The sequence below is a fragment of the Homo sapiens genome, chromosome 4, assembly GCF_000001405.40.
Source record: "Homo sapiens chromosome 4, GRCh38.p14 Primary Assembly".
Lineage (NCBI taxonomy): Eukaryota > Metazoa > Chordata > Mammalia > Primates > Hominidae > Homo > Homo sapiens.
Window position 1 is genome coordinate 112,395,342 of NC_000004.12, and position 26,616 is coordinate 112,421,957.

The window sequence follows — 26,616 nt, forward strand, 5'->3', positions numbered from 1 at the left end:
ACCCAAGCATTTTTAAGCTCAACAAATTCATAGATTTTGAATCAGTACTTTCTTTTATTGGATATATTTGTACAGCACAAAAGAAGTTTGCTATTATGCCATGAATCTATTCATTTGAATCAATTGTCTTTAAAACATTTTTATTGCTCATCTCATCTGTAAAAACTTTTACACAGGCACATTATACATTTATTTATTTAATGATATACATGTTCTGTGCATTACTATGTATATAGATTTCAGTAGAACAAATTTAAGAAGAATGAGACAAAGATTAAATGAATACTTTAAAGTTTGAAGTGTAATATTGGCATGAGAAACTTTTTGTTCATGTTAAAATTGTAACATACTATGTTTAGTTTTAAAAATCTTGAATTAGTCCTCTGCTCTGAAGATGTAGCTAGTACAGTTTATTTTAATACTTGATTTTAATGACGGTCACAGTTGAAAAATTATGTGTCAAAGATGTGTAGATCCAAATAGAAATGGTCAGCTATGATTACAAATTCACATCACTCACATTTCAATCCATCTACCAATTATGAGGCATCATTTGTTGAAATGTAGCTAGCAAATTTCTGCCTTCCCTAATGTCAATTGCATGTTTCTGCAAGTTAATCAGAGGATTTTTTTTAACAAAGGATGTCAAAAATCCATTCAAACTCTTCATTTGGAACATTTTTTTAAATGGGTTAAAATTTTCTTAGTTGTCATGTTTCATTAGGAAAGAAAGAAAGAAAAAAAATTCCCATTTGTGTGTTGTAAAATATGTGATATTTTTAGTACCTAAACCACAATGAAGTAAATACTTCCAGCCCTCATTATTTGAAAGATATTTTTCAGAATACCTGTTGCATAGCATACTGTTGTCAGCCACTTGTCATCACAGAACAGGCTGACACAAAAGCCTTTCATAAAAGAAAAATGTCTAAGCTCCATATTTGGCCATTCTCTAAGGAACTTTGCCTGGAGATTTTTGTAGTATTTCCCCCTCTCATTATGAATTATTCCAAAGTATCTATGATTTGTGATACTAGAAACTGTAAACCTACTTATCAACTATATAAACCGCAATACAGCTCGTATAGCAAAAACAGTCCAAAAAGAGAGTTCTGGTCATCAGCTCCTCCAGGATGAAGCACGATTATGTGCCATCTGTGCTGAGTAACCATCCAACATAACAGAGTAAGGCGCTTATGTCAATTCACTTTTTAAAATGTTAGTGAAGCTTAATTTCTTTCTCATTAATAAATTTAAATGGAAACTTTTAGAATTTTCTTTATATTTTGAGATCTCAGAAACTGATTTCACAATCTCACCCTCAATCCACTGTCAAAACAATATGTTATTATTTATTGAGCATCTACTAAGAGCTAGGCACCTTACATGTACTCCTCTGTAATCTTTTCAGTAATCTATGTAGAGCTGTTTTTTTTTCTTTTTTTATGTTTTTGGAGACAGAGTCTCACTCTGTCACCCAGGCTGGAGTGCAGTGGCATGATCTCGGATCACTGCAACCTCCATCTCCTGGGTTCAAGCAATTCTTGTACCTCAGCTTCCCAAGTAACTGGAACCACATGCGTGTGCCACCACACCCAGATTTTTTTTGTATTTTAACAGAGGTAGGTCATCACCAGGTTGCCCAGGCTGATCTCGAACTCCTGAGCTCAGACAATCCTCCTTCCTTGGCTTCTCAAAGTGCTAGGATTATAGATGTGAGCCACAGTGCCTGGCCCTGTGGCGTTGTTATCTTTACTTTATAGATGAAAATGTTGAAGTCTAAAGGTTAAGTAACATGCAAAATCACGTAGTGCCTCAGCACAGCTGAAACCCCTTTTCTTTGCCTTTTCCCACAGCATCTCCCTCTAGTAACGGATTTCACTAGCTTCTTCGTAAAAGTAGTCCCAATATTGGCTTCTTTTCCACGTATGTGTGTAATCTGTCACATTTTGAAAATATTATCAGCTCAATTCTGGAGCTTTTTATGTATTCTGTATGTGAAGACCACAGGCAAAATATATTTCTTTCATGGCTGTTGAAAACGTCCTATCACACTAGGCATGAATTATTAGGCTAGTGCAAAGGTAATTGCGGTTTTTGCTATTGCTTTTAAATGGCAAAAACTGCAGTTACTTTTGCACCAACCAATATTTCCATGGGCACTGTATGTGAAATCGAGACCTCTACGTCTTCTAGAGTCACTGTCAAGTACAACTTTAAAAGAGCTTAGGGGCCAGACCCCTAACCTGTCTCAGTAGCTCTCCTATTATATTGCTTTGATCACAGAACTATGACAGCTTCCCTTCACTCTTTGTCTAAGGCCATACCTTTGCCTAATATGCTTAAAATGTACATAATTTATATCTGTTTATGACTTAAATGACTTATGCTGGAGATTCCAAATACTGGTCAATAGGGTGAATGAATTAGAATTACATGGGACATGTATGCATTAGCTGGGGTGGGGTGGGGAGCAGCTTCTTAAAATATATATATTCCTAGGTCTTACTACCTCGAGTTTCTGATTTAGTGAATCTTTATTTAGATCCACGAATCTGTACTGATAAAACATTACTGTTGATGAGATTGGGCACAGTCAGATGGTGTATATATAATTTAATATTGGAGAGTAATAAAGTCTATGATGACAAAGCAGAGTCGAGAGATAGTGAGTGATTATAGATACTCTAATATGATTGTAGAGGAATGGCTAGGGAAGGATTTTTTGAATAGGTGACTGGAGCCCAGATCTGAATGAGGGAGCCATGCGGATATCTGAGGGCAGAGCATTGCAGATGGAAGGAGCAACAAATACAAAGACTTGTTGGAGGATGAGCAAAGAGTCTGGAGAATGGTGAGAAGTGATACAAATAAGAGTAAATAGGTCAATGAAGTATTAAGAGGCAATATCATATAGGATTTTATTGGCCATGATAACAGACTTAAATTTTTTTAATTTTTTTAAGAGACAGCGTCTTGCTCTGTTGCCCAGGCTGGAGCACATGTGATGGTGTGATCATAGCTCACTGTAACCTCAAATTCCTCTGTTCAAGTGATCCTCCCACCTCAACCTCCAGAATAGCTGAGACTACAGGCAAGCACCACCATGCATGGCTAATTTTTTAAAAAAATATTTTTGTAAAGACAGGGTCTCCCTATGTTGCCCAGGCTTCTTTCAAGCTCCTGGGCTCAAGTAATCCTCCTGCCTCGGCTTCCCAAAGTGCTGGAATTATAGGCCTGAGCCTATATTTATGGCTGGCCTAAATTTTATTTTAAATGTGATGAGAAGCCGTGTTAAAGTCAAGAGCAGGGAACTGACATGATTAGGCTTACATTTTAGAGGGATCATTCTGTTTGCTGTGTAAGGGAGAGGAACACCAGAGGCAAGAGCAGGGACCCTATCCAAGCAAGACTGTAACAGTGGCGTGGACTAAAGTGGGTGCCCTGGAGGAGATGAAAAATGGTCAGATCTTACACGTATTTTAGAGGTAGAGCCAACATGATTTGCTGATGGATTGGGTGTAGAGGACAAGAGAAAAAAAGAGTCACAAACGTGGAGTCAAAACTCCAAGGTTTTGTCCTAAGCAAATGAGTGAATGAGTCATCACTACAGAAACAGAGAACACTGAGGAAGAAGCAAGAATGGAGGAAAAATAGAGTTCTGCTTTAAACATGATGAGTTTGAGATCCTGACATCCAACTTGGGCTATGGCGGGCAATTCCATATACAAGTATGCATTCGAGGAAAGAGAAACAGGATGGTATTTAAACGTGGGATTCATCATCAGTGTTGATATTTAAGGCCATGGTACAGGCTGAGTGTCCCTGGAGGAGAGAAGCAGTCTCAGAACTGATCGCTAGGGCCTTCCTTGTTCAGAGTTTGGGAAAGAAGCATGATCCAGCAAATCAGAGCAAGGAAGGGAACCAGGAGAATATGCAATGACAGAAGCCACCAGAAATTTTTTTCTTTTTTAAAGAGGGATTGATTTGCTCAGCTAAATCTTCTAGGAGTTTGAATAATATGAGAATAAATAAATGGTCACTGGATTTGTTAGCAACCTTGAAAAGAATAGGTACAGTGAAGTGTTGGGGATGAGAATTATAGATTTACAAAAGAGTGGCAGGTAAAGACGTGAGGACAGTGAGTTTAGACAACTCTTTTGGGATTGGCTAGAAAGGGCAGCAGAGAAATGGGATAGGAGCTGGAGACAGATGTATGACCAAGAAAGGATTGTTTTTCTCTCTTTTTTTTATTTTACTTTAAGTTCTGGGATACATGTACAGAACGTGCAGGTTTGTTACATAGGTATACATGTGCCATGGTGGTTTGCTGCACCTATCAACCCGTCATTTAAGTTTTAAGCCCCACATGCATCAGGTATTTGTCGTATTGCTCTCCCTCCTCTTGTCCTCCACCCCTCTACAGGCCCCGGTGTGTGATGTTCCCCTCCCTGCGTCTATGTGTTCTCATTGTTCAACTCCCACTTATGAGTGAGAACGTGCAGTGTTTGGTTTTCTGTTTCTGTGTTAGTTTGCTGAGAATGATGGCTTCTAGCTTCATCCATGTCCCTGCAAAGGACATGGAGTCATTCTTTTTTATGGTTGCATAGTATTCCATGGTGTATATGTACCACATTTTCTTTATCCAGTCTATCACTGATGGGTATTTGGGTTGGTTCCAAGTCTTTGCTATTGTAAATAGTGCTGCAATAAACACACATGTGCATGTGTCTTTATAGTAGAATGATTTATAATCCTTTGGATATATACCCAGTAATGGGATTGCTGGGTCAAATGATATTTCTGGTTCCAGATTATTGTTCTTAAGGTGGATGCTATTACAACATGTTTGGATGCAGATGAGAATTATCCGGGGGAAATTAATGATGCAGAAGAGAAGGGAGATATAATGTAAAGAAGGATGAGAATTGAATCTATAAGTAAGATATTGGTATCACACTTACCAGAGAAGGGTAGATGAAACACATAGGTTCCAACTCAAGAGGGTTGGCCAAATTTAGGTAAAAGAATAAGGACCATCTCTTCTCATTGACTCTCTTTTCTCAGTGAAATAACAATCAAGGTTAACAGCTGAGACTCAGGAGAATTAGAGGAATTTTGGTTGGAAAGAGAGAAGGAGGTAGAAATGTAGTCCCAATTGCCGGGCAGTAATGGGAGCCATCTTCAGGTTACAATCATAAATTTAAAGTATCATGGTTGTGTTTTTTTCCAGCCATTTTCACTTGCTTAGGTAGAAGCTCAGGTTAGGCAGATAATTCGATATAATTTTGGAATTTGGGATGCCAGTAAATAACATTGATTTTACCCTCCTGCATTCAGAACCAGTTGAAAGACAGATACAAAAGAGTAACTTTTATGACTATAAAACAGATAGGAGAATGTGGTTTTCAATATTCAGATGTGGGTTGGAAAATTCTTCACTCCAGACTCATCCTGTTGCTGGCAGGAACTTTCCTTCAGGCAGAACAGGCCAGAATGTACCCTCTCCCCTGGCAGGAAGATGTGAAGAGAAGAGAGAGGAAGGTCTGAGCCAGGTATGTCACCCCCATCAGATAATGTGTTTCATCCACAGAAGGGAGGTGAGAGTGAGTGTTGGGGAAAGAGCCTGGAAGATCAGCCTCGCTCAGCCAGAGTGCTCAACTCTGGCTGCTCATTGGAATCACCTGGGATTGTTAAAAGAAACCGATGCCCGGGTGTACTCCAGAGATTCTGATTTAACTGGTCTGGGCTGCCATCTGGGCGTCTGGACTTTTGAAAGTCCTACCAGGTGACTCTAATGTGAGGCCAAGGTTTTTCTCTAACAGTAAGCATAGTTGGCCTTTGCTAGAAAAATATAACAGAGGCAGAAAAAGGGAGAGGAGACAAGAATGCTTTTTAAAAGTTATGACATTTATGCACTATGGAATTTAAAGAGGCAAGTGAGGACATGAGATGACTGATGGGATAGTACAAAACAGTAGGGTCAGTGAATTGTATGGGTGTCCCAGAAAGGTTGCAGAATTGTTGGATTTGTGCTATAGAAGAAGGAAACTGAAAGAACAAGAGATAAAGACCAGAGAATGCAATGCTTAAATTGAGATTCTTAAATGCTGTCAAAATGGTACATTCTAAGTTATGACCAACCATGAGAGTAGGTGACTAAGGTGGGGTGTAGAAGAAGATAGTTGGAGAGAAGAAGGTCATGGGCAAGAGACACCAGTGTGCTGGAGGAATCATCAATGTGGATGCTGAAATCACAAAGAATGATGACTGGACTCATGCTAGCCATAACAACCTGGGCATCAGAAGAGAGGTAAGGTGTGCAGGTCCCTAGCTCCCAGGGCCATGAGATTCACAGGGATCCTGGTGAAATGGTTGCCTATTTTAATACTGCTTTCTTTTCCCTTTAACAGATGGCCAACTCCATATACAGTAGAACTGAGTAAGGGCGAGATAATCCAAAATATTATCTTCAGATATTAAGATAGAGAAAAAGCTTACAACTATTTTTCAGAAGGGTTTGAATCTGCATTTTCTATTGGTAAAAATGAAAGAAAGGCCAATGAAATGTTTACAGGCCCTGGGCATAAACCTTAAGAAAGGTCAGCTTTTTCTTCTCACCTCCTTATCACATTTAGTGGGTGGACAAATATGGAGCATGCTATGTTTGGTCTTCCATTGACTTGAGTCCACCAGTTTGATCTGTACCACTTTCACTCTGCTTTTACTATTGATGGATAACTATGCAGGCGTCAATCACTTTTCGTGTGTTTATTCTGCTAATTCCTCATCTCAGGACTTCCCCACCTCCCTTCCATATTTCCCTGCCTTTTACCAATCTCCCAATTTGTTATGCAGCAATAATTTCCCTTTACACTGCTCCTGCCAATTGCAGTGCCAGATGGCTTCAGTTCTGAGCCCCTTCACCCAGCCCCTCCTTGAGAACAGCTGCCATTGTCATTGCTGTGAACACATCACAGCTTTGAACCCATAGCTGGGACCTAAACTTGATGCTCAGCATCGGGAGGGGCTGGCGCTAATGCAAGGAACCATGAAAACAGCACACACTTTTCCTTGCTGCTGTTTAGCAAGAGCCCTTAGAAAAGGCTCTTCAGCATTTTTTCAATCATCTGTGTATCGAAATCTCATTGTGGAGTTTAATTCCTTTACCACCTGACTCAGCTTCCTAGCCATGAAGTTCCCTTTGTGCCTTAAACACAATTAGAACCCCGTTATTTCCCATCCTGAAAACAGATGTGAAAAAACAACTGCGTGTGTGTCTATGCGTGTGTCTGTGTACATGTGTTTGTGAGCCTCTCTCTTCAGAAATCCAGCACATTCTCTCATCCATATCCACATATTTTTATGTAAACATGATCACATAACAGGAAAAATACAATTTGGTTGCTATTTGGACAATCTTCCCCTAAGCCAGCTCCGAGGAAAAATAAAGGATTAGAATCCCTGTAAGTTTTTGATCTTGAGCTATACTATGTTCATCCCAACACTAAAACTGTTACTGTGACACTACCTAAAAAGATCATATTTTTGAGTCCTCTGTGATGGCAGGTCAGTCGTGGGCCTAAAAACCCAAACAAAAAGAATCCTGAATCAAATTCCATGTAGACCAATATGCATTTCAAAGGCATTGCCCATGTAATCAGTGGGTTAGGGTTTTTGTGTTGTTTTCTTTTTCTTTCTTTTTTAGGGGGTGGGGGAGGGAGAGGGGCTCTCTTTCATGGTAATCTAATTGTGCATAACCCAGGCACATTTTGCCATGTAGGGAAACTCTTTAGCATCCCTTCCCTACCACACAGTTTGGCCCTCTTTCATTTTTCTCCTTCTGATGTCAGAGTGCCCCCCGCCCCCTCCCCGGCATACATTTTGGGAAGATTCCCAGGATGATGATGTATTCTGCTTTGCTGCTGAGGAATTTACTATCCCCTTACTTGGCAGCAAATGAAAGTGGGTATTAATTTCTCAGAGTGCTGGTAGAAACACGACAGAGCGGCTGCAAGAATGATACCCACCTAAATCTGTATGTAGTTCACAGCATGCTGCCGTTTCAAAAGGGAAAGAGAAAAGAAAATGAAAAGAAAGAAAAGATTCTCCTGAGTTGACTTCTCTGCATTTTGCATCGTTAGGTCTTGGAGAGAGATGCGAGAGGTTTGGGCCCTGAACGGAGTTAAATTATGCAGCTGCGGGGATGCCAGGTCCTCCAGAATAGGATGCTTCGTTTAGATTTTCCACAATGCTATTGAAGTGCTTATTTTCCTCCTGAAGAGACACAAACAGATGCAAACTTCTGTAAACACTTTAGAAATGAATTCAGTGAGTTTGGCCTCTCAGCAGTGCTCAATAGCTGACAGAAAAATGTCTAATTAGTGCAAGTGGAAATAATAGGGCCACTTGGATTCCTTCCATCCTCCTCCAAGTCTACTTTTCCAAGGAACTCAAAGGCCCTTTTGTCTGGCAGGTCACCCTCTCTCAGGCTTTTGTGCTCCAATCTATTAAGAGTAGAAGGGGGAAAAATAGATTAGGCAGTGTTCTCTGCTCAAATATATGGCGTGTTCTTGAGGGATGCAGAATGGGGTGTTTGCAGCATCAGTTTACAGGTGCTTGGGGAGGGATTCCTCCATTGGCGACAGCCAAAAGCAATTCGCACGTGTGTGCTTAGAAGGCCCCCTTTCAAGACCCAGCTTTCCCTCACCAAGTGCCACAGAGCCCGCTCATTTTCCTTTTCCTTTCTCAGTTTCCAGTAACATCAATCCTCGGAGTTGGTGAAGAGAAGAAAGAGATTGAAAAAAATGAGAGGTTTAGCCATTCTCTGGGATAAACCTTGTAGATGTTACATGCATGACCCATTATTTCTGTTTTGCTCTATTGAAACTTCCACTGAAACTCACTTTGGGAGTCTGTCTGTGCCTGTTTATACCTCGTCATACAAGTGAGTGGGAATGAGTGGCTGACTTCTTTCCATTTTTTTCATGGTGTTCCATGTCATTTATTAAGCACCCACAATCTACCAAGCTCTGTGCTGAGCATTTGACCCACACTTCCTCTAATCCTGAAACAGCACCACAAATGAATATTATCCACATTTCACAAATGAGGTCATTGAGAATAGAGCAGTTAAGTAACTTGCCGTGGCAAATAAGTGCTAGAGCTAGGAAACAAACTGAGATACTCATGGTTTCATCTCAGACATTATATCGCTTTAATCTGTTAACATTTGACTTAGATCAATTTTTATATCTTCCATGTCTCTACTGCATATACCTAATTTTTACCTTCTTGAACTGTAATCTGGGGGTCACTTTCTATTGATTTCTCTTTCTGTGCAATCTGGGCTTCTTTCACACCTGGCAATTTTTGACTGAATGCCAGATTGTAAACTTTACCTTCTTGGATTGTGAACATTTTTGTGTGCCTATAAATATTCTTGAGCTTTGTTCTGGGACTCAGTCAAGTTAGGAAATAATTTGATCCTTTTGAAGCTTGCTTCTAAGCTATCAGAGTTGGCCAAGAACAGTCATAGTCAAAGGCTAATTTAGTCTCCCTACCGAAGCAGTACCTTTCTGAATACTCCACCCCATGCCCTGTAAATGACAAGACTCTTCTACACTGGGTGATAGAAACGCAAGCTGCTTGAGGCCTAAGAAATGCTTCCTATGTTCATTTCAGGTGGCTTTTTCCCCAGCTTTGGGTGGTTTCTTTCCATGCAGAAGCTGATCAATATTCTGCTGAAGACTCAAAGGGGACCCTCTGCAGATCTCTGAACTTGCTTTGTGCAGCTATTTTCTTCTGGTACTCTGCCCTGTGAACTCACTACCTGGGCCTCTCCGGACTCCAAGAAGCTCTGTCTCATAACTCAGGGAGACCATTTCATAAAGGATGCCACTGGACTTACAAAGTGTCCTTGTAGCTCACTGTGAGGAGTGCCCAACTGTAGTGATCCCCAGCTATCACCAAATCATCATTTGCTCTCATAATACCAACTTTTGCTAGAGAATATCAAACATGAAAATTAAAAGCCACCTCCCGGGAAGTCTTCTTTCCTTTCTCTCATTTTTAAATATATAACAAGATCACTCTTTTTATTTGGAATTTGTTTTTATTTGTCCCTGTTTTTCTTTTCATAGAATTTTCTCATTATAATGAAGGAAGCGGGGCCCCTAAAACCACTGTTTGGACTCAACAGTGACTTCAGCCCCAGCTTTAAAGACCCAACTTTTTTGTTTGTTTGTTTTTTGAGATAGAGTCTTGCTGTGTCACCCAAGCTGGAATGCAATGGTGCAATCTCGGCTCACTGCAACCCCCGCCTCCCAGATTCAAGTGATTCTCCTGCCTCAGCCTCCCAAGTAGCTGAGATTACAGGCATGCCCCACCACACCTGGCTAATTTTTTGTATTTTTAGTAGAGACGGGGTTTCACTACGTTGGCCAGGCTGGTCTTGAACTCCTGGCCTCATGATTCACCCGCCTCGGCCTCCTAATGTGCTGGGATTACAGGCATGAGCCACAACACTCTGCCAAGACCCAATTTCTTATTCCCAGATTAGGCATTGCTCCACAGAACCTTGCTGAGGCCACAGGGGAAAAGCAGAAGATGAACTGATGCTCAAGAGAGTTGTGTTCCTAAGTATTGGCAAAGATGTGGAGAAAATGGAACCTGTGCACTCTTGGTGGGCTTGTAAAATGGTGCGAACTCTGTGGAAAACAGTATGGATGTCCCTCAAAAAATTAAACATAAAACTCTCATGTGATCAAATAATCCCATTTCTAGGTATATATCCAAAAGAAGTAAAGCAGGGTGTCAAAGAGATATTTGCACACCTATGTCCATGGCAGCACTATTCACAATAAAAAGAGGTGAAGCCACCCAGATGTTCATTGATGGATGGATGAATGAATAAACAAAATGTGGTATATACATGCAATGGAATATTATTCAACCTTAAAAGGGAAGGAAATCTTGCCACATGCCACAATATGGATGAACCTTGAATATATCATGCTAAATGAAGTAAAAAGACTAATGCTGTATGATTCCACTAATACGAGGTATCTAAAGTGGTCAACTTCATAGAAGCAGAAAGTAATGTTGGAGCTCAGAAAAGGATACCCCAAAGTAAGGCATTTTGGCATGCTAAGTAGTTTGAAGTAAAGGAGATTGGAAGACGCCAGAAGCAGCCTCAGAAGCAAGTTCTCTCTGACCTTCTCCTGCTTTCCTGTCTCTCACCCCTCTTTCACCACTAAACCAAGTCATAGAAACCACAGAATTCCTCTTCCTCAAGGCAAGTCATAGAAGTTAGAATCCCTCTCCACCAAAGCAAGCCATAAAACCTAGAAATATTACTCTAACCTTTCCCTGCCTGTCTGTGTAGAGGCTGGCCATAAAAAAATTCTCTGTCCTATCTTGTCTGATAGATTATAAGACCTGTACCTGGAAGGAAGGATACTACACAGACAGGCTGAGAAAAATCTCACCAGATAGGTCTTGCTGAGTCCCATCGCACCTAGTCTATTATCATTAGTCATACTCCTTCTGTCCAATCACATTTCTACATGGCTGTCTATTCTTTGTCAAATTTAAGCCTTAAAAATGGGAAGTTTTTCTGGGTCTTTGGGTCTTCATTTCTAAAGGCTCCCATGTAACGTCAAACTTTGATTAAATAAATTTGTTATGCTTTTCTCTTGCTAACCTGTCTTGTGTTATAGGAGTGTCAGCAGTGACCCTTATGATGGAAGAGGAAAGGTGTCACACCTCTTCACCCTTACAGTAGAATGGTGGTTGCCAGGAACTGGGGAGAGTGGAAAAAGGGGAGTTGTTTTTTAAGGGGTATAAAGTTTTGGGTTTGCAAAGTGAAAAATGTCTGAAGATCTGTTTTGCAACAACATGAACATACTTAACACTGCCGAAATGCATACTGAAAAAGGTCAAGATGGCAAATTTTATGTTATGCATTTTTTACCACTATGAAAGAGAGAAACCAGGAACACTGGCTTATGCCTGTAATGCCAGCTACTCAGAAACTGAGGTGGGAGGATCACTTGGGCCCAGGAGGTTGAGGCTGCAGTGAGCTATATGATCAGCCACTGCACTCCAGCCTGGGTGACAGAGTGAGACCCTGTCTCTAAAAATTAATTAAAAATAAGTAAATAAAAATAACAGAGAGAGAGACTTGAATTTTTGCCTAGCTCTGACTCTTTTGATTTTGTAACTTTGGAAAGTCACTGAATCTCACAGCTTCAGCTTCCTTTTCTCGTTTAGATTTTAGAGTTACTATAAAATTTAAATGTCATAGTGTGTGTGAACATTTTTTATAGACTAGATGGTCCTATACAAGTGGAAACCATTATTCCCTGTGAGGAAAGAGTGGGGAATCACCTCTGGAGAATAGCCGGCCTCTGAACATTGCTGCCCGAGTAGTTACTGCAGCTTCCCTAAAACTGAAGTGAGACACTAGTAAGAATGGAGAGCAGTGCTGGGCACGGTGGCTCACGCCTGTAATCCAGCACTTTGGGAGGCTCAGGTGGGCAGATTACGAGGTCAGGAGTTTGAGACTAGCCTGACCAACATAGTGAAACCCCGTCTCTACTAAAAAATACAAAAATTAGCCGGGCGTGGTGGCGTGCACCTGTAGTCCCTGCTACTCAGGAGGCTGAGGCAGGAGAATTGCTTGAATCCGAGAGGCAGAGGTTGCAGTGAGCAGAGATTACACCACTGCACTCCAGCTTGGGTGACAGAGCAAGGCTTCATCTCAAAAAAGACAAAAAAAAAAATGGAGAGCAGAACTAGAAATCAAGCATGCACTTAAGTGTAACATCAAAAAGAGGGCATTCACAGGCTATCTGAGTACCCCCCAAGGTCCATAGCCATAAGCAGGGTGGCAGGAATAGTGTTGTTCTTTCTAAGCAAAAGTAGAAGGAAGGCTGTCAGTGGCAGAAACTTCAAGTACTGAAGACAGTAGCTGAAGATACAAAACAAAGGACTATATCTATGTGTCCTTAGCACAGGAAGGACTGGCCTTGCTGAGAGACTGGCCTTATTAGACACAGCTGGCCACATATAAAACCATCAGTTTGCTTTTCCATCTTTGATTTACATTTTATGAATGCCAATGACTGACTTTTTTTTTTTTTTTGAGACTGAGTCTTGCTCTGTTGCCCAGGCTAGAGTGCAGTGGCACAATCTTGGCTCGCTACAACCTCTGCCTCCTCCTGGGTTTAAGTGATTCTCCTGCCTCAGCCTCCTGAGTAGCTGGAACCACAGGCATTTGCTACCATGCCTGGCTAATTTTTGTATTTTTAGTAGAGATGGGGTTTCACCATGTTGGCCAGGCTGGTCTTGAACTTCTGACCTCAAGTGTTCCACCCACCTCAGCCTCCCAAAGTGCTGGGATTACAGGCTTCAGCCACTGCGCTCAGCCAACAGACTTTTTCTCATTTTGAAACTTGCATTTTTCCGATTGATGGTTTATTTGACGAACTCAGTCGAAGTTTTGAGCATGGCAATTTTAGTTAGGCTTTTTCTGGTTGGAAGGAACAGAAGCTCAATCAAGTAAACACATAAAAGGGGATGTGTATTATTTTGAAAATACATGTGGCATACTAAATGAGACATGTAATTCCTAGAATGGCACTCATGAAAACATGGACTTGCCTTCAGAGCCATTCTTGGATCTTCCCTTGTGTTGCCCATAAACATGGCTTGGCTATACTCTACTTTCTTCCTATCCTTCAACAACAGGCAAATTCTTTCTATATTTTTTAGTTCAGATTGATACGTTGGTTTTTTAAAGCCTGGCCACAGAATCATGAGGGGTCAGGTTATCAGGTAGCTACTCTCAATCCAGTGGCCTTGATCTGGTCGTGGGGTGGAGAAAAAAGGGTGTCAAGGCCAAGTAGCAAAATACACAGCTACCTCAAAGACAGGGGCTGTGGGCACAGCAGTTTCCCTAGAAAGGGTTATGGTGTGCCTTAGAAAGGCAGTTATTCATGTCAGGGTCTTTGGGAGGATCTGATCAATAGTACCTCTCTTCCTCTCCTGGATTCTGAGCAAATGGAGAAATAAGACAAAAGAGGCAAACAAGAGATGAAATATTCCCCTTAATTCTAATACAGGGTAAGTTAGAAGATATAGCTTTGTATTAGACGTAGGGAATCTGCTAGTGGAACCCCAAAATTATATAGACGTCCCCATTTAGTCACAGGAATTACAGGGTCAAGCAGAATACTCCATGTAGGGCGGCTTACTAGACAAGACTTATGATATAGAGAAGTAACGACAAATTGCCGTTTCCTTTAGACAGCTTGTTCCCAAGAGAAAAAAGGAAGAAGAGAAGTCATACATGCCCACTTTATTCTTCTAAAATTTACCAGTCAGATTAGTCACTCCACCCCTCATGAAGTAGAGTGGGGAAAGTGATAGAAAGAGGCCGAGGACGCTACGGTCATTGAGCTTCCGTCACATGGAAGGAAACATCGAGAGGAGAGAAGAGATATTCTCCCCAACAGTTGGCAATTCTATCACAATGACAGCAATGATAGACTCAGACCAAAAAGATAAATAGAGTAAAAAATTTTATACTTAATAAACACATTGGCAGTTTAAAAATCTTAACATGTTAAGTAAGCATCAGTTTTAAAAAAGAAAGATTATTGTGCTGGTATTTGGCAGGCATTACCTGATTGATGAAAGCCTGTAAATACAAATATCCTGTAACCAATTATGCATATGGTATTTATTAACATAATAGTAAATATCAGATAATTGACTCAAAGGGGACCCTCTGCAGATCTCTGAACTTGCTTTGTGCAACTCTCTTCTTCTGGTACTCTGCCCTGTTAACTCCCTACCTGGGCCTCTCCAGACTCCCAGCAGCTCCATCCGGTTTCCTAACATAGAGTCAGGACAACAAGGGAGCATGTAGGATCTGGATTTGGACCTCCTGTGTTCAAACCCCAGCTCTTAGTCATGTGACCTTGGCATATCACTTCACCTCTCTGCATCTCAGGTTTCCCATCTTACAGAAGAGAATAATAATAGAACGTGCCTCTTAGGATTGCTAGGAGAACTTATTGAATTAGTGCATATAAATCACCTAGCACTGTGCCTGGCACCTGGTTTTGCCCAGTAAGTGTTAGTACTTAGGATTATGTGGTGATGAAAGCAGTACTTTGTGTAGCAACATTGTGGTAGGAAAATGGGCAATACTTACAATGCTTTCTAGGCTTCATGCATGAATAAACATGCCCAGAAAGCACTCAGCATGATTTAGTTTAGCATAGGAAGATAATAGTATTTGGGTGATAAACTCATTTATGCTACTAGCTACGTAACCACTAAATCAAAGGTCTTTAGTATAACACCCTAGCAGAGCAAAAGATGATGATGTTTTTTCATAAAAATTTGATTATTTATTTCTACTTCTCGCTCTTTATGTTACACTTTCATTTCATGCCGGTTTTCTTCTTTTTCTTATTTTATTCATTAACTAAACATGATGATATAAATCAAATATGGACTGTTATCTAAAATTCTGTATTTCTTCCTAATTAAAATGTAGGCAATAAATGAAGCAGAGTGTCATGAACTAATGTGGAAGTTCTCCCAGATGATGATGATTGAAAGAAGAAAACAGCAGAACAATATGTTTAGTGTGACGTCATTTACGTATGAGAGAGAAAGAGATAGGAAGGGTAGGAGAAGGCAAAGCAAGACAACGATCAATTAATGTCTAAATATAAATAAAAGGATAGGCGTTCTGGAAGGAACGTCTCTCCCTAACCATTGTCAAGGAGAATTGAAGCAGGAGGAGAAGAAATAAGATAAGGGATGGGGAAACTATGGGGCGCTTTTACTTTTTACCCTATATAGTTTTGTTGTTGTTGTTGTTGAGACGGAGTCTCGCTCTGTCGCCCAGGCTGGAGTACAGTGGCTGGATCTCGGCTCCCTGCAACCTCCGCCTCCTGGGTTCAAGTGATTCTCCCGCCTCAGCCTCCCGAGTAGCTGGGACTACAGGCGCATGCCACCACACCCAGCTAATTTTTGTATTTTTAGTAGAGATGGGGTTTCACCATGTTGGCCAGGCTGGTCTCAAAATCCAGGCCTCAAGAGATCCACACGCCTCGGCCTCCCAAAATGCTGAGATTAGAGGCGTGAGCCACCATGCCCGGCCCTACTTTTTACCCTATGCGCTTTAGTATTGTTTGAGTTTTTAACAACGGGAAGTATGCATTTATCGCTTCTATAATTTTATAAATGTAATGGGGGAAATTGAATGAAGGAAATACTATTTTATTGCACAATTGAACTGGACTTTTCTATTTTCTTTCTTTCGGTTCAGCTGCCTAACAAAGTATTTTTCTCTTCCTAGCTGTGGGTTTTGTTGTATTAATGAAAATGCCTCCCACGCTAAGCCTGGCCCTCAGCCTGCCAGCGTTTCCGCCTGGCTCACGATGTTCCACGCTGTTCCTCCAGGCGTCCCTGAGGGCCTCCATCCTCGCTCGGGACTGTGCGGCTGCGGCGGCTATTGTGTTCTTGGTGGACCGGTTCCTGTATGGGCTCGACGTCTCTGGAAAACTTCTGCAGGTCGCCAAAGGTCTCCACAAGTTGCAGCCAGCCACGCCAATTGCCCCGCAGGTGGTTATTCGCCAAGCCCGAATCTCCGTGAACTCAGGTATGCTCCCTCCTGCTGGCCGCCCCCGCGTCCTCAGTGTCTTCTGGTCCCCTTCCCTCCCGAGCTACTTGACCTCTGTGGGACACCCGGAGCACCCGGGCCCTGCGTGCCATCTTTCCGAGCCCGGGGCTCCCCTCCCCCGCCCCTGTGCCCTTCCACCCGCCTCTTTGCCAGCACAAAGGCCCTGGCATAAAGGGTTTCAGAGCCAAAAGCAGTAGAGAAAATTGTGAAAGGGTGTGGAAAATACTAATTGGAGCTTTTGTCTTCTAACAAATCTGTCCTGCTGCTTTCAAACAGGGGTATCTGAATTGCTATACTTCTGACCAAGAGTCTTTAAAAAGCAGATTAGAATTCTACTATTTTCTCTTCGCTCTCCTGTCTCCTTTCTGTAGGACCACTTGACTAAGCTGACAATAGAGCTGACAAACCCACTGAAGTAATTTGAGGGTTTTTTTTCATCATTCAGAACACCGGTACAGTACCTGATTAGGTCTTAAAGTATCTTTTTTTTTCCTGTCACTTTGAATGAAATGAAAAAGGAGGCTGACATTCTAACTTAAGATGTGGTGTGGAAGAGGGCTGGGGGGAGGGGGGCCTGCTATGCGTTACTGCAAAGTCCACTTCCATAGAATTCTTGAATTATTTAAATTGCTGATAGCCATTAGATTTAGAAACGTGTAGCCTGTTATTCCTGTTTCCAAGACTGAAAAAGTAAAGGATGAAAAGAGAAGGCAAGTTACCCCTCCCAGAAATGGGACTGGTTCATTTTCTGATTGGTTTTAGCTGTTGCTATTATTTTAATAACTCTGGTCTTTAAGAGGTTAAAATCTCTTTACTTCATTTCCTTTGAAAAGGAACTGTACTAACTATGCTAAATAGGACAATTGCTGAATGCAGAGAGGGACAGAGACAAAAGGACATGGGAGAAATGGGCTAGTGGAGGTTACCTTTTCAAAAGCCCAAGTTCATTTACGCTCAAGTTCTTGCAACTGTGCATAAATTGTGCAGGTCTTGTTATTTACTTATCTCAAGTAAAGTTCAGGGACAGAGCTGAACTTAGGAAAAATTTCTTCTTTAAAATGTTCCTGATGTAATTTATAATGTGTGGGATATGAAAGAAACCTAACAACTGTTGTTCCTTCTGATGGTGTCAGATGGCAATGATGTTTGAGCAGCGCATTCTCTGAGGGGAACAGAGTGGTGAAGGCTGGAGGGTACAGACAGGGTTCTAATATTGGTTCTCATCAAGAAGAGCTTGGAACAGAGTTAATGTAGCATATTTTGTGCCATACAGCATTGCTATAGTGTGACATGGAAATTGAGATCAAATGGTAAACAGGGACGTTGACAGCTTTGCTTTTACATGTCCAAACTGGTCTTTCAGGTTTCCATTTTTGTTTTTGTTTTGTTTTTGAGACAGTCTCGCTCTGTTGCCCAAACTGGAGCCCAGTGGCCTGATCACAACCCACTGCAGCCTCGACTTCTGGGGCTCAGGTGATGTTCCCCCCTCAGCCTCCTAAGTAGCTGAGACTTTAGGCATGCGCCACCACACCCAGCTAATTTTTGTATTTTTTGTAAAGACTGGGTTTTGCCATGTTGCCCAGGCTGGTGTCAAACTCCTGACCTCAGGTGATCCACCCACCTCGGCCTCCCAGAATGCTGGGATTACAGGTGCAAGCTGCCATGCCTGACCCGGTTTCCTTTTTTTAAATTGGTTTTGGGAGGGTTTTTTAAATTATTTCTCTCAAGATTCTAACCAGGTGGTATAGCAGTTTTCTCCTGATAATGAGAAAGCTTTGGGATGATCATGATGAATAGGATGCTCCTCTGCTCACATTATCCTGTGTCTAACATAAAGGTCCTGGATCTTTTTCCCTAATGGTTGGGATTGTCTTTTCCTCAAAGACACTATTAAAAGTGCCACAGAAAGACAAATATAACCTCAGAGTTAAGTCTTCTTGTGTAAACGTCTACCCCAAAACATCTGGAGCCTCCACCTACACTGGGTGTCTCAGAGAGAGAGAAGGACTGGGACTGAGAGCAGGGATGGCTTAGGGGTAACAGAAGAAGATTTGCTGAAAGGAGGCTCTCAGGCCCAGCACTTAGGAATCGTGGGGTGGAGAAGTGAAAGAGATTATATAATATTGTAAGAGGTAAGGAAGAAAAACAAAGGTAATATGAGAGGACAGCAGTCTTGCTATTATCCATCTGATCCAGCGCTTCCTGGTATCCACCACAGGATCCCATCCAGCCAAACACTCAATGTAGTGGGATGTCAGAAGCAAGAGAAGACCCACAAGGCCAGGCACTATGGCTCATGCCTGTAATCCCAGCACTTTGGGAGGCCGAAGCGGGTGGATCACCTGAAGTCAGGAGTTCGAGACCAGCCTGGACAACATGATGAAACCCCATCTCTACTGAAAACTACAAAAATTAGCCAGGCGTGGTGGCAGCCGCCTGTAATCCCAGCTACTTAGGAGGCTGAGGCAGGAGAATCACTTGAACTCCGGAGGTGGAAGTTGCAGTGAGGTGAGATCACACCATTGTACTCCAGCCTGGGGCACAAGATCAAGACTTCGTCTCAAAAAAAAAAAAAGAGAGACGACTCACAAGGCCTGCTCACCTCACTCTTGCCTGAAATTGGGAGACAAAACCTTTCAAACCACAGTTACAGATAAAGGCTCAGATTTCCAATTCCATCAACATGGAGGACTGAGCACGTGCAGAATCTTCTCCCATTACACATACATAAATATGGTGAATTAAAGATTTGTAGGTACCTGAAACATAAAAGGTATTTAAAATCACAGCAATAGACTACTGCTTACGACACATAGCCAAAGGAACTTACACTTGAGCAAAGTCCTCAAGGGAAGGGGCTGTCATTTTAATCCCTGGGCAGAGATGAGAGACAATTGCCTTGTGCCCATGTGAGAAGTAAAATATTTGCATCAAGCTGGAATTCTTAAAGGTTTGCACAGGCTACAAAAGGAGACTGAACAATCCCACCAGCCTGCCCAGAGAAGTTACAAGGACGCTTGCTCTCCGCCCAAGCTCTGGGATGGAGGGGAAAAAAACTCTCATCTAAAATAAAGGTCTCAACTCTGTGCCGAATTTGAGTGTGGAGTCTGAATTTACTCTGCCCACAAAGCAGGAAACCTGCCATCAAATAATTAAGAAAAAAAAATTGTTCAGGACTGAAATTTCTGGGCCCCAGGAGATCAAATGCAAAACTATACTCTAGAGAAGTATCCACACCCAGGGCCATGGGAATCTCACAGGAAAATATTCTTGGCTAAAGATGACCTTACATTAAAATTATAAGCAACAGGCTGGGCAGCGGCTCACGCCTGTAAACCCAGCATTTTGGGAGGCCAAGGCGGGTGGATTACCTGAAGTCAGGAGTTCGAGACCAGCCTGGCTAACATGGTGAAACCCCATCTCTATTAAAAATACAAAAAATTAGCCTGGTGTGGTGGCAGGCGCACGAAATCCCAGCTACTTGGGAGGCTGAGGCGGGAGAATTGCTTGAACCCAGAAGGCAGAGGTTGCAGTGAGCTGAGATCATGCCATTGCACTCCAGCCTGGGTTACAGTGAGACTCTGTCTCAAAAAAAAAAAGAAAGAAAGAAAACAAAAAAGAAAAAAAAAGAGAAAGTAATAGTAATTGATGGGGAATTCCCCACAGAACAGGCAGCGCATGCAAGTTTGTTTTTATATAGACAGGATACAAGAATTCAACTACAAAACCATGGCTGAAGAGCACAGAACACCCTCCCGGTTGGTGAGATAAGCTTTTGGCATTTCACCTGCTAGTAAGGGTGCCCAACTGCCAACCAGACTGCTTCAATGGGGTGAATGAGATAAAATAAATCCTTAGAAAAATGAAGTAAAAAACAAAGATACAAAAATGCAAGCTTAATGTATTTATTATCATCAGCTTCAAGAGTTATACAATTATTTTGGCAAATCATAATAAAAATTTCTAAATGCTCACTCTCAGTGTTTCACTTAATCTCCTCGATTCAGGCTAGCAACAAAAAGACACAAATAGTAGTGCTCCCCAAACTTCAGTGTGCTCTGAATCCCCTAAAGATCTTATTAAAATGCAGATTCCGATTCAGTAGATCTCTGGTACGGCCTGAGATGCTGCTGTTCTGTGAACCTTGCTTGACTAGCAAGGGATCATCTAAAGATTCTAACCACGTGCCTGGCTGCCCACCTGGGACTAATGACCACTAACAACCTTAAAATCAAGGTACATTTTCTACAGCCAGTTTCTCAGATGTTCCAACCCCATAACTGACCTACCGGAAATGTACGCCTGCAATACCATTAACAGTGGGGGAGAAAATTATGGAACTGGAAACTGTATTTAAAAAAAATGTTGAAAATGAAGCACAGAGAGCTAAGTAGATGAAAATAGGGAAGTTTAAAAAACTCAAAGAGATTTAAAAAAACACAGAAGCATAGGAAGACTTCTAGCGGGACTAACTAGACTCAGAATTGGAGAAAATTATGTCTTTACACTGAAGGAGTATATCTAGCCTTGGGCAAAAAAGTTTTAGGCCAGGCATGGTGACTCACACCTGTAATCCCAGGACTTTAGGAGGCCAAGGTGGGAGGGATCGCATGAGCCCAAGAGTTCAAGACCAGCCTGGGCAACACAGGATGATCTCATCTCTACAAAAAATAAACAAAATCAACCAGGTGTGGTGACATGTAGCTGTAGTCTCAGCTACTCCAGAGGCTACGGTGGGAGGATCTCTTGAGACCAGGAGATTGAGGCTGCAGTGAGCCATGATTACACCACTGCACTCCAGCCTGAGTGACAGAGCAAGACCCTGTCTCAAAAAAAAAAAAAAAAAACTTTTTAAATAAATTCAAGACCATACCTAGTGTGGTAAACTATAGAAAATCATACAATAAGAAAGTCTTAAAGAAACAGACAGAAAAGACAGATTAATATAGGAAGTATATTTAGACTAACAAAAAGTATCTTATCAATAATAAGAGTCCAGAAAGCAAGAGAATCTCCAAAAAATTGAGAGGACATAGGTTTTGACCTCGGATTTTATACCTAGCAAAATTGTCATTCAAAAGTGAGGATAAAATAGACATTTTCAGACCTGATTGGCTAAAAATAAATTATTCTCAAGACAGCTCTCTCATTCACACACACACTCACATACACACTAAAGGATGCATTTTTCTAAGAAGAAAATTGAACTTAGAATGAAGAAGTGGAGAGTAAAAAAAGATGATGACTAAAGAATGTGGTAAATACATTTAGCCATATAAGATTAAAATAAAAGGAAATTATATGGCAATATCACTTATATAATTAATAAGGTGCAAAAAATCTTGAAATATTACCAAATTGACCAACATTGTATTAAATTAATAATGCATTACAATCAAGGAAGGTTTATTCCAGATACATAAGGATAGTGGGTTTTATTTTTGTTTTTATTTTTTGGGGGACACGATCTCACTCTGTTACCCAGGCTAGAGTACAGTGGTGCAATCATGGGTCACTGCAGCCTCAACCTTCCAGGCCAAGCAATCCTCCCACTTTAGCCTTCCAAGTAGCTGGGACTACAGGCATGTGCCACCATGCCCAGCTAACTTGTTTATTTTCTGTAGAGTCGAGGTCTCTCTACGTTGCCCAGACTGGTCTTGAATTCCTGGGCTCAAGCGATCCTCCTGCCTCAGCTTCCCAAAGTCCTGGGATTATAGGCATGAGTCACCGTGCCTGGCTGATAGTTAAGTATTTTTAAATCTATTCATTTAGTGCACCACATGCACAGAATAAAGAAGAAAAAGTATGTGTTCACCTAAATAGATTTTTTAAAGTTAACAAAATTTTCAACCGACTTAGGTTAAAAATGCAAACTAGGGATAGAAATGTAATCAGGTGACAGAAACCACACAGTAATTTGAACAGGAAAGTTCAATACAAAGAATTACTATTTCAGGGGATTAGAGTAATGAGGGCTTGGCTAGTGAAAAGTAAAGAGAACTCTAAAGAAGAACTCTAAAGCGTGCAGGATAGCATTTTTAAGGTACAGCCACTATTCCCTGGACTCAGATAGAACACCTAAAAAAGAGCTCCTGGCCCTCATACCTACGCACACCACGGCTGAGATCAAGACCTTTTTGGAGAAGGCACAGACATGGCTCGCCGCGTGGCAGAGAAGTCACCAAGGTTCCATGCTGGCCAAACTCGCTGGAAACCCACCTTCTGAATGTTGGGGGAAGCCATCCACGGGGAGGCGCTGTGTCTTAGAACTCACCACAAAGCTGCCTTTACAGAGTGCCAGGGGAAACTGGTCACCAGAGGAGCCTAACTGACAGCACTCCACTGTAAAGTCAGCTGAGAGGACTGACTGCCGGGTTCGGCTGACCCTCTGCACAATGAGGAGACAGATGCTACAGAAGTCACCTATGTTGCAGGAGTCAGGCACAGGGAAAGCTATGAAAGCCTGTGTTGTAGGAGTCAGGCATTTAGGAAGTGGTACCCGCAGTGGCCTGGCCAGAGGAGCACACCAAGTCAGGATGAGAAGCACCCTTCCCATGCAGCGTCCTTCCACACCCCACGATGACAAGGCTTACCATCTTGCCAGCTGACAAAGGAGAAATGTTTACCAGATCCATCCCCATGATCACAAAGCAGGTATTGAAGGGTGGATTGGAACTGAAAGATGATAAGTTGGAGCTGAAAAAGTTACTCCCTGCATAGGAGGGAACTTTCTTAAACTGATAAAAGGAAGTAACTGAAAGCCTCCAGCAAAACCAATGATGAAAAATTATAAGAATTCCTTTTTAAGTCATGTCAAGAAAAAAAGTACCTCATTACTGCTTCTATTTGATACTTCCCTGGAAGTCCTCTCAAGGCAATAAGAAAATGAAAGGAAATAAAAGGTATAAAGGCTAGAAATGAATAAACAAAAACAGTATGATTTGTAGACAATATGGCTGAACACATAGAATACTCCAAGAAATCCACAGATTGTTAGAATTAAGAAATTCAGCAAGGTTGGTGAATACAAAGTCAATATTTTTTAAATGCCCATTCTTAGTTAGCAACAAAACCTAATTAGAAATATATCTTTTAAGAATAGAGATTGCTTTGATAAAATTTATTCGTGTAGGTATTTCATTTGATATCTGTCATTTTAAATATATTGGTATGAATAAATTTAATTCGACTGTAAGCCATGATTTCGATACTAATTTTCTTTTATTCTCTGTTTCTCTGTTTTTCTTTTTTTGGACAAATATATGTGGAAAGCCTGCTATGTGCCAACAATTGCATTAGGCCTTTAGGATAGTTATAAAGATGATCAAGATATGGTTCATTATCAAGTGGTTCAAGTTGGGGGAGAAGATAGAACTATAAAAAAATTAAAAATAGCACAGCAATGAGGTTTAAAACAGAGAGGAAATTAGAAGGGAGGGAGGGAAGAAAAGAGGAAGAAAGGCAGAAGGGAAAGAAGGAGGAAAGGAAGGATGAAAGGAAAGAGGTAGAGAGAAAGGGAGGGAGGACAGTAACTTTAAAAATTGACAAGGGAAGGAGACAAGATGAGAAACTCTAAAAACTGCAGATATTATTTCATGCTATATGTTCCATCCTCTGATGAGAATGTGAGGAAAGAAAATTGTATCCTGCATGGCTGAAAATGGTCCCCTACAAAAATATCATGTTGGACAACTAATCTGAGATAGTGGTATCTCTGGAAAGCAGTTTAGCACTGGTGAGTTTGGACTTTCATGGCAGGCTGCCTTGGTTCATATCTTTTGGTAATGATACTTATCCTCTGTAAGGCCCATTTCTTTATTTGTGAAATGAAGACAATAGAGTGCTTAGATATAATTTAGAACAATGTCCGTCACATAGTAAACACGTAATAAACGGTAGCTCTTATTGTTATTATTATTACTATTATTACCTTGAAGACAGGGGCTCTGTCTTGTTCATCATTCCATCTCCAGCTCTTAGCACAGTCCCTGGCACAATTCAAACATGTATTTGGATGAATGACAAATAGCTACTGAATATTTGCCCTGTTCCAAGCATTGTTAGAGGTACATGGGACAGGGCAGTGAACAAAACAGGCAAAACCTCCTGCTGTCTCAGAGTTCACACTCTAATGGGGAGACCCAGGCAATGAGGAAATAATTAAAATATACAATGTGTCTTATGGCAATAAATGACAAAGAAAAATAAAGCAGAGGTGAGAAACAGTGGCAGTGTTTTGGTGATCATTTGCTTTGCAACAAGCCACTCCCCAAAGTTAGTGGCCTAAAACAATTTAATCACAGTTCATGTTCTGGCTACAACAATACACATCCCTCTCATGTGCAAAATACACTCATTCCTCCCTCAGAGCCTCGTACCATTAAGGGTTCAGGTTCAAAGCTTAAGATCTTATCCTCTGAAGTAGGTTTAGGGACAAACAAGTCTTCTCAGGTACTTCTTCTGGGGACACAGAGACTTGTGAACTAAAAGACAAGTTACCTACCTTCCAACACAACTGGCATGCAATGGGGATATAGGAAAAGATAATTTCAATAGGCGCTTCTGTGCAAAAGCGGGGGAAATGAGAGTCACTCAGCAGTCACGGTTCATATTAATCTAAAATCTAGCCAGGCATATATCCCAAGTCTTCCTGATGTGAGGACAAGAATTATTTCTTGATTAGGGCTCACTTTTTCTCTTTGAGAATGGTTCGCCTCAGCTTTTGGATTTGTCCTCTGAATCATCCTTCCTTGTCTATAAAATGCATGTATATACTCATACATACATAGAGAGAAAGAGAGAGAGAGAGAGAGAGAGACTCTGTCACGCAGGCTGGAGTGCAATGGTGTGATCTCAGCTCACTGCAACCTACAACTCCTGGGTTCAAGCAATTCTCCTGTCTCAGCCTCCCGAGTAGCTGAGACTACAGGTGCACGCCACCATGCCTGGCTACTTTTTGTATTTTTAGTAGAGACGGGGTTTCACCATATTGGTCAGGCTGGTCTCGAACTCCTGACCTCAGGTGATCCACCCACCTCAGTCTCCCAAATGCTGGGATTACAGGCATGAGCCACCGTGCCCGGCCCATAAAATATTTTTTATGAAAACATCTCAGCGTACTCCATGCCTATAGAAAGTTTGACTCCCAGATGTCTCTTTTCATTTTGAACTATCTCTGCCCTTCTTAAATCAAGCTGATATAATTCCTTTAAATACTTTCTAGCTTTTTAACATACTAAATTAGAAAAAAAATGCCTACATTTATCTTTGAATGCTACTTTGGGCTACAAACCAAAGGGATACAGGACAGCACCCTTAAGATTCTTAGAAGCTCTTTCGCTTGGTCAGAGGGTCTGAGGTCTTAACAAAGTGTTTTACAGCCACGCCCTTGGTTTGATCTTGACCCTAAGGTCACATTTTACTGCCAGTGCCCTGAATTTGACCTTTGCCCCAGGTTTTAATATTTTAAATTTATCTTCAGAATGTCTTGCTGTCTGGAAAAACTATTCTGGGCCGTCTTTATTTTCCCTAAATCTTGCTTAAAAATGGAATACAGTAGTCCCCCCTTATTCATGGGGGATACGTTCCAAGACCCCAGTAGATGCCCAAGCCTGATTGCCATTAATCAAGACACATTTCTGTTTATGTCTTCTACCCACCGATTTAATGCCTTTTCCATCTTAACTAAGCATCTATCACGCACGGTAGCCATACTTTCACAGTTGGAGATGTGACAGCAAAACTAGCACAAATCTCTTTTTCCTTCTTCACCATTTTTGGATAGAGGATGCATCCTTACCATAGACCTTAGCAACTTTGGCATATGAATTTTTTCCTTCTTTATTAAGTTGAGAATTTTCACCTTCTCACTTAAAGGAAGCACTTTACAGCTTCTCTTTGGCACATCCAAA

General features: G+C 41.4%; 1 protein-coding gene across 3 annotated transcripts in view; it reads left to right on the plus strand.

The window, feature by feature from the left end:
- Positions 1-26,616, plus strand: part of ALPK1 (alpha kinase 1) — a 145,253-nt gene that overhangs the window by 97,973 nt on the left and 20,664 nt on the right. For all 3 annotated transcript variants that reach the window (NM_025144.4, NM_001102406.2, NM_001253884.2), the window contains one exon: positions 16,486-16,684. In NM_025144.4, the coding sequence (NP_079420.3) occupies positions 16,486-16,684 (199 nt within the window). The remainder of the gene's footprint in view (positions 1-16,485; positions 16,685-26,616) is intronic.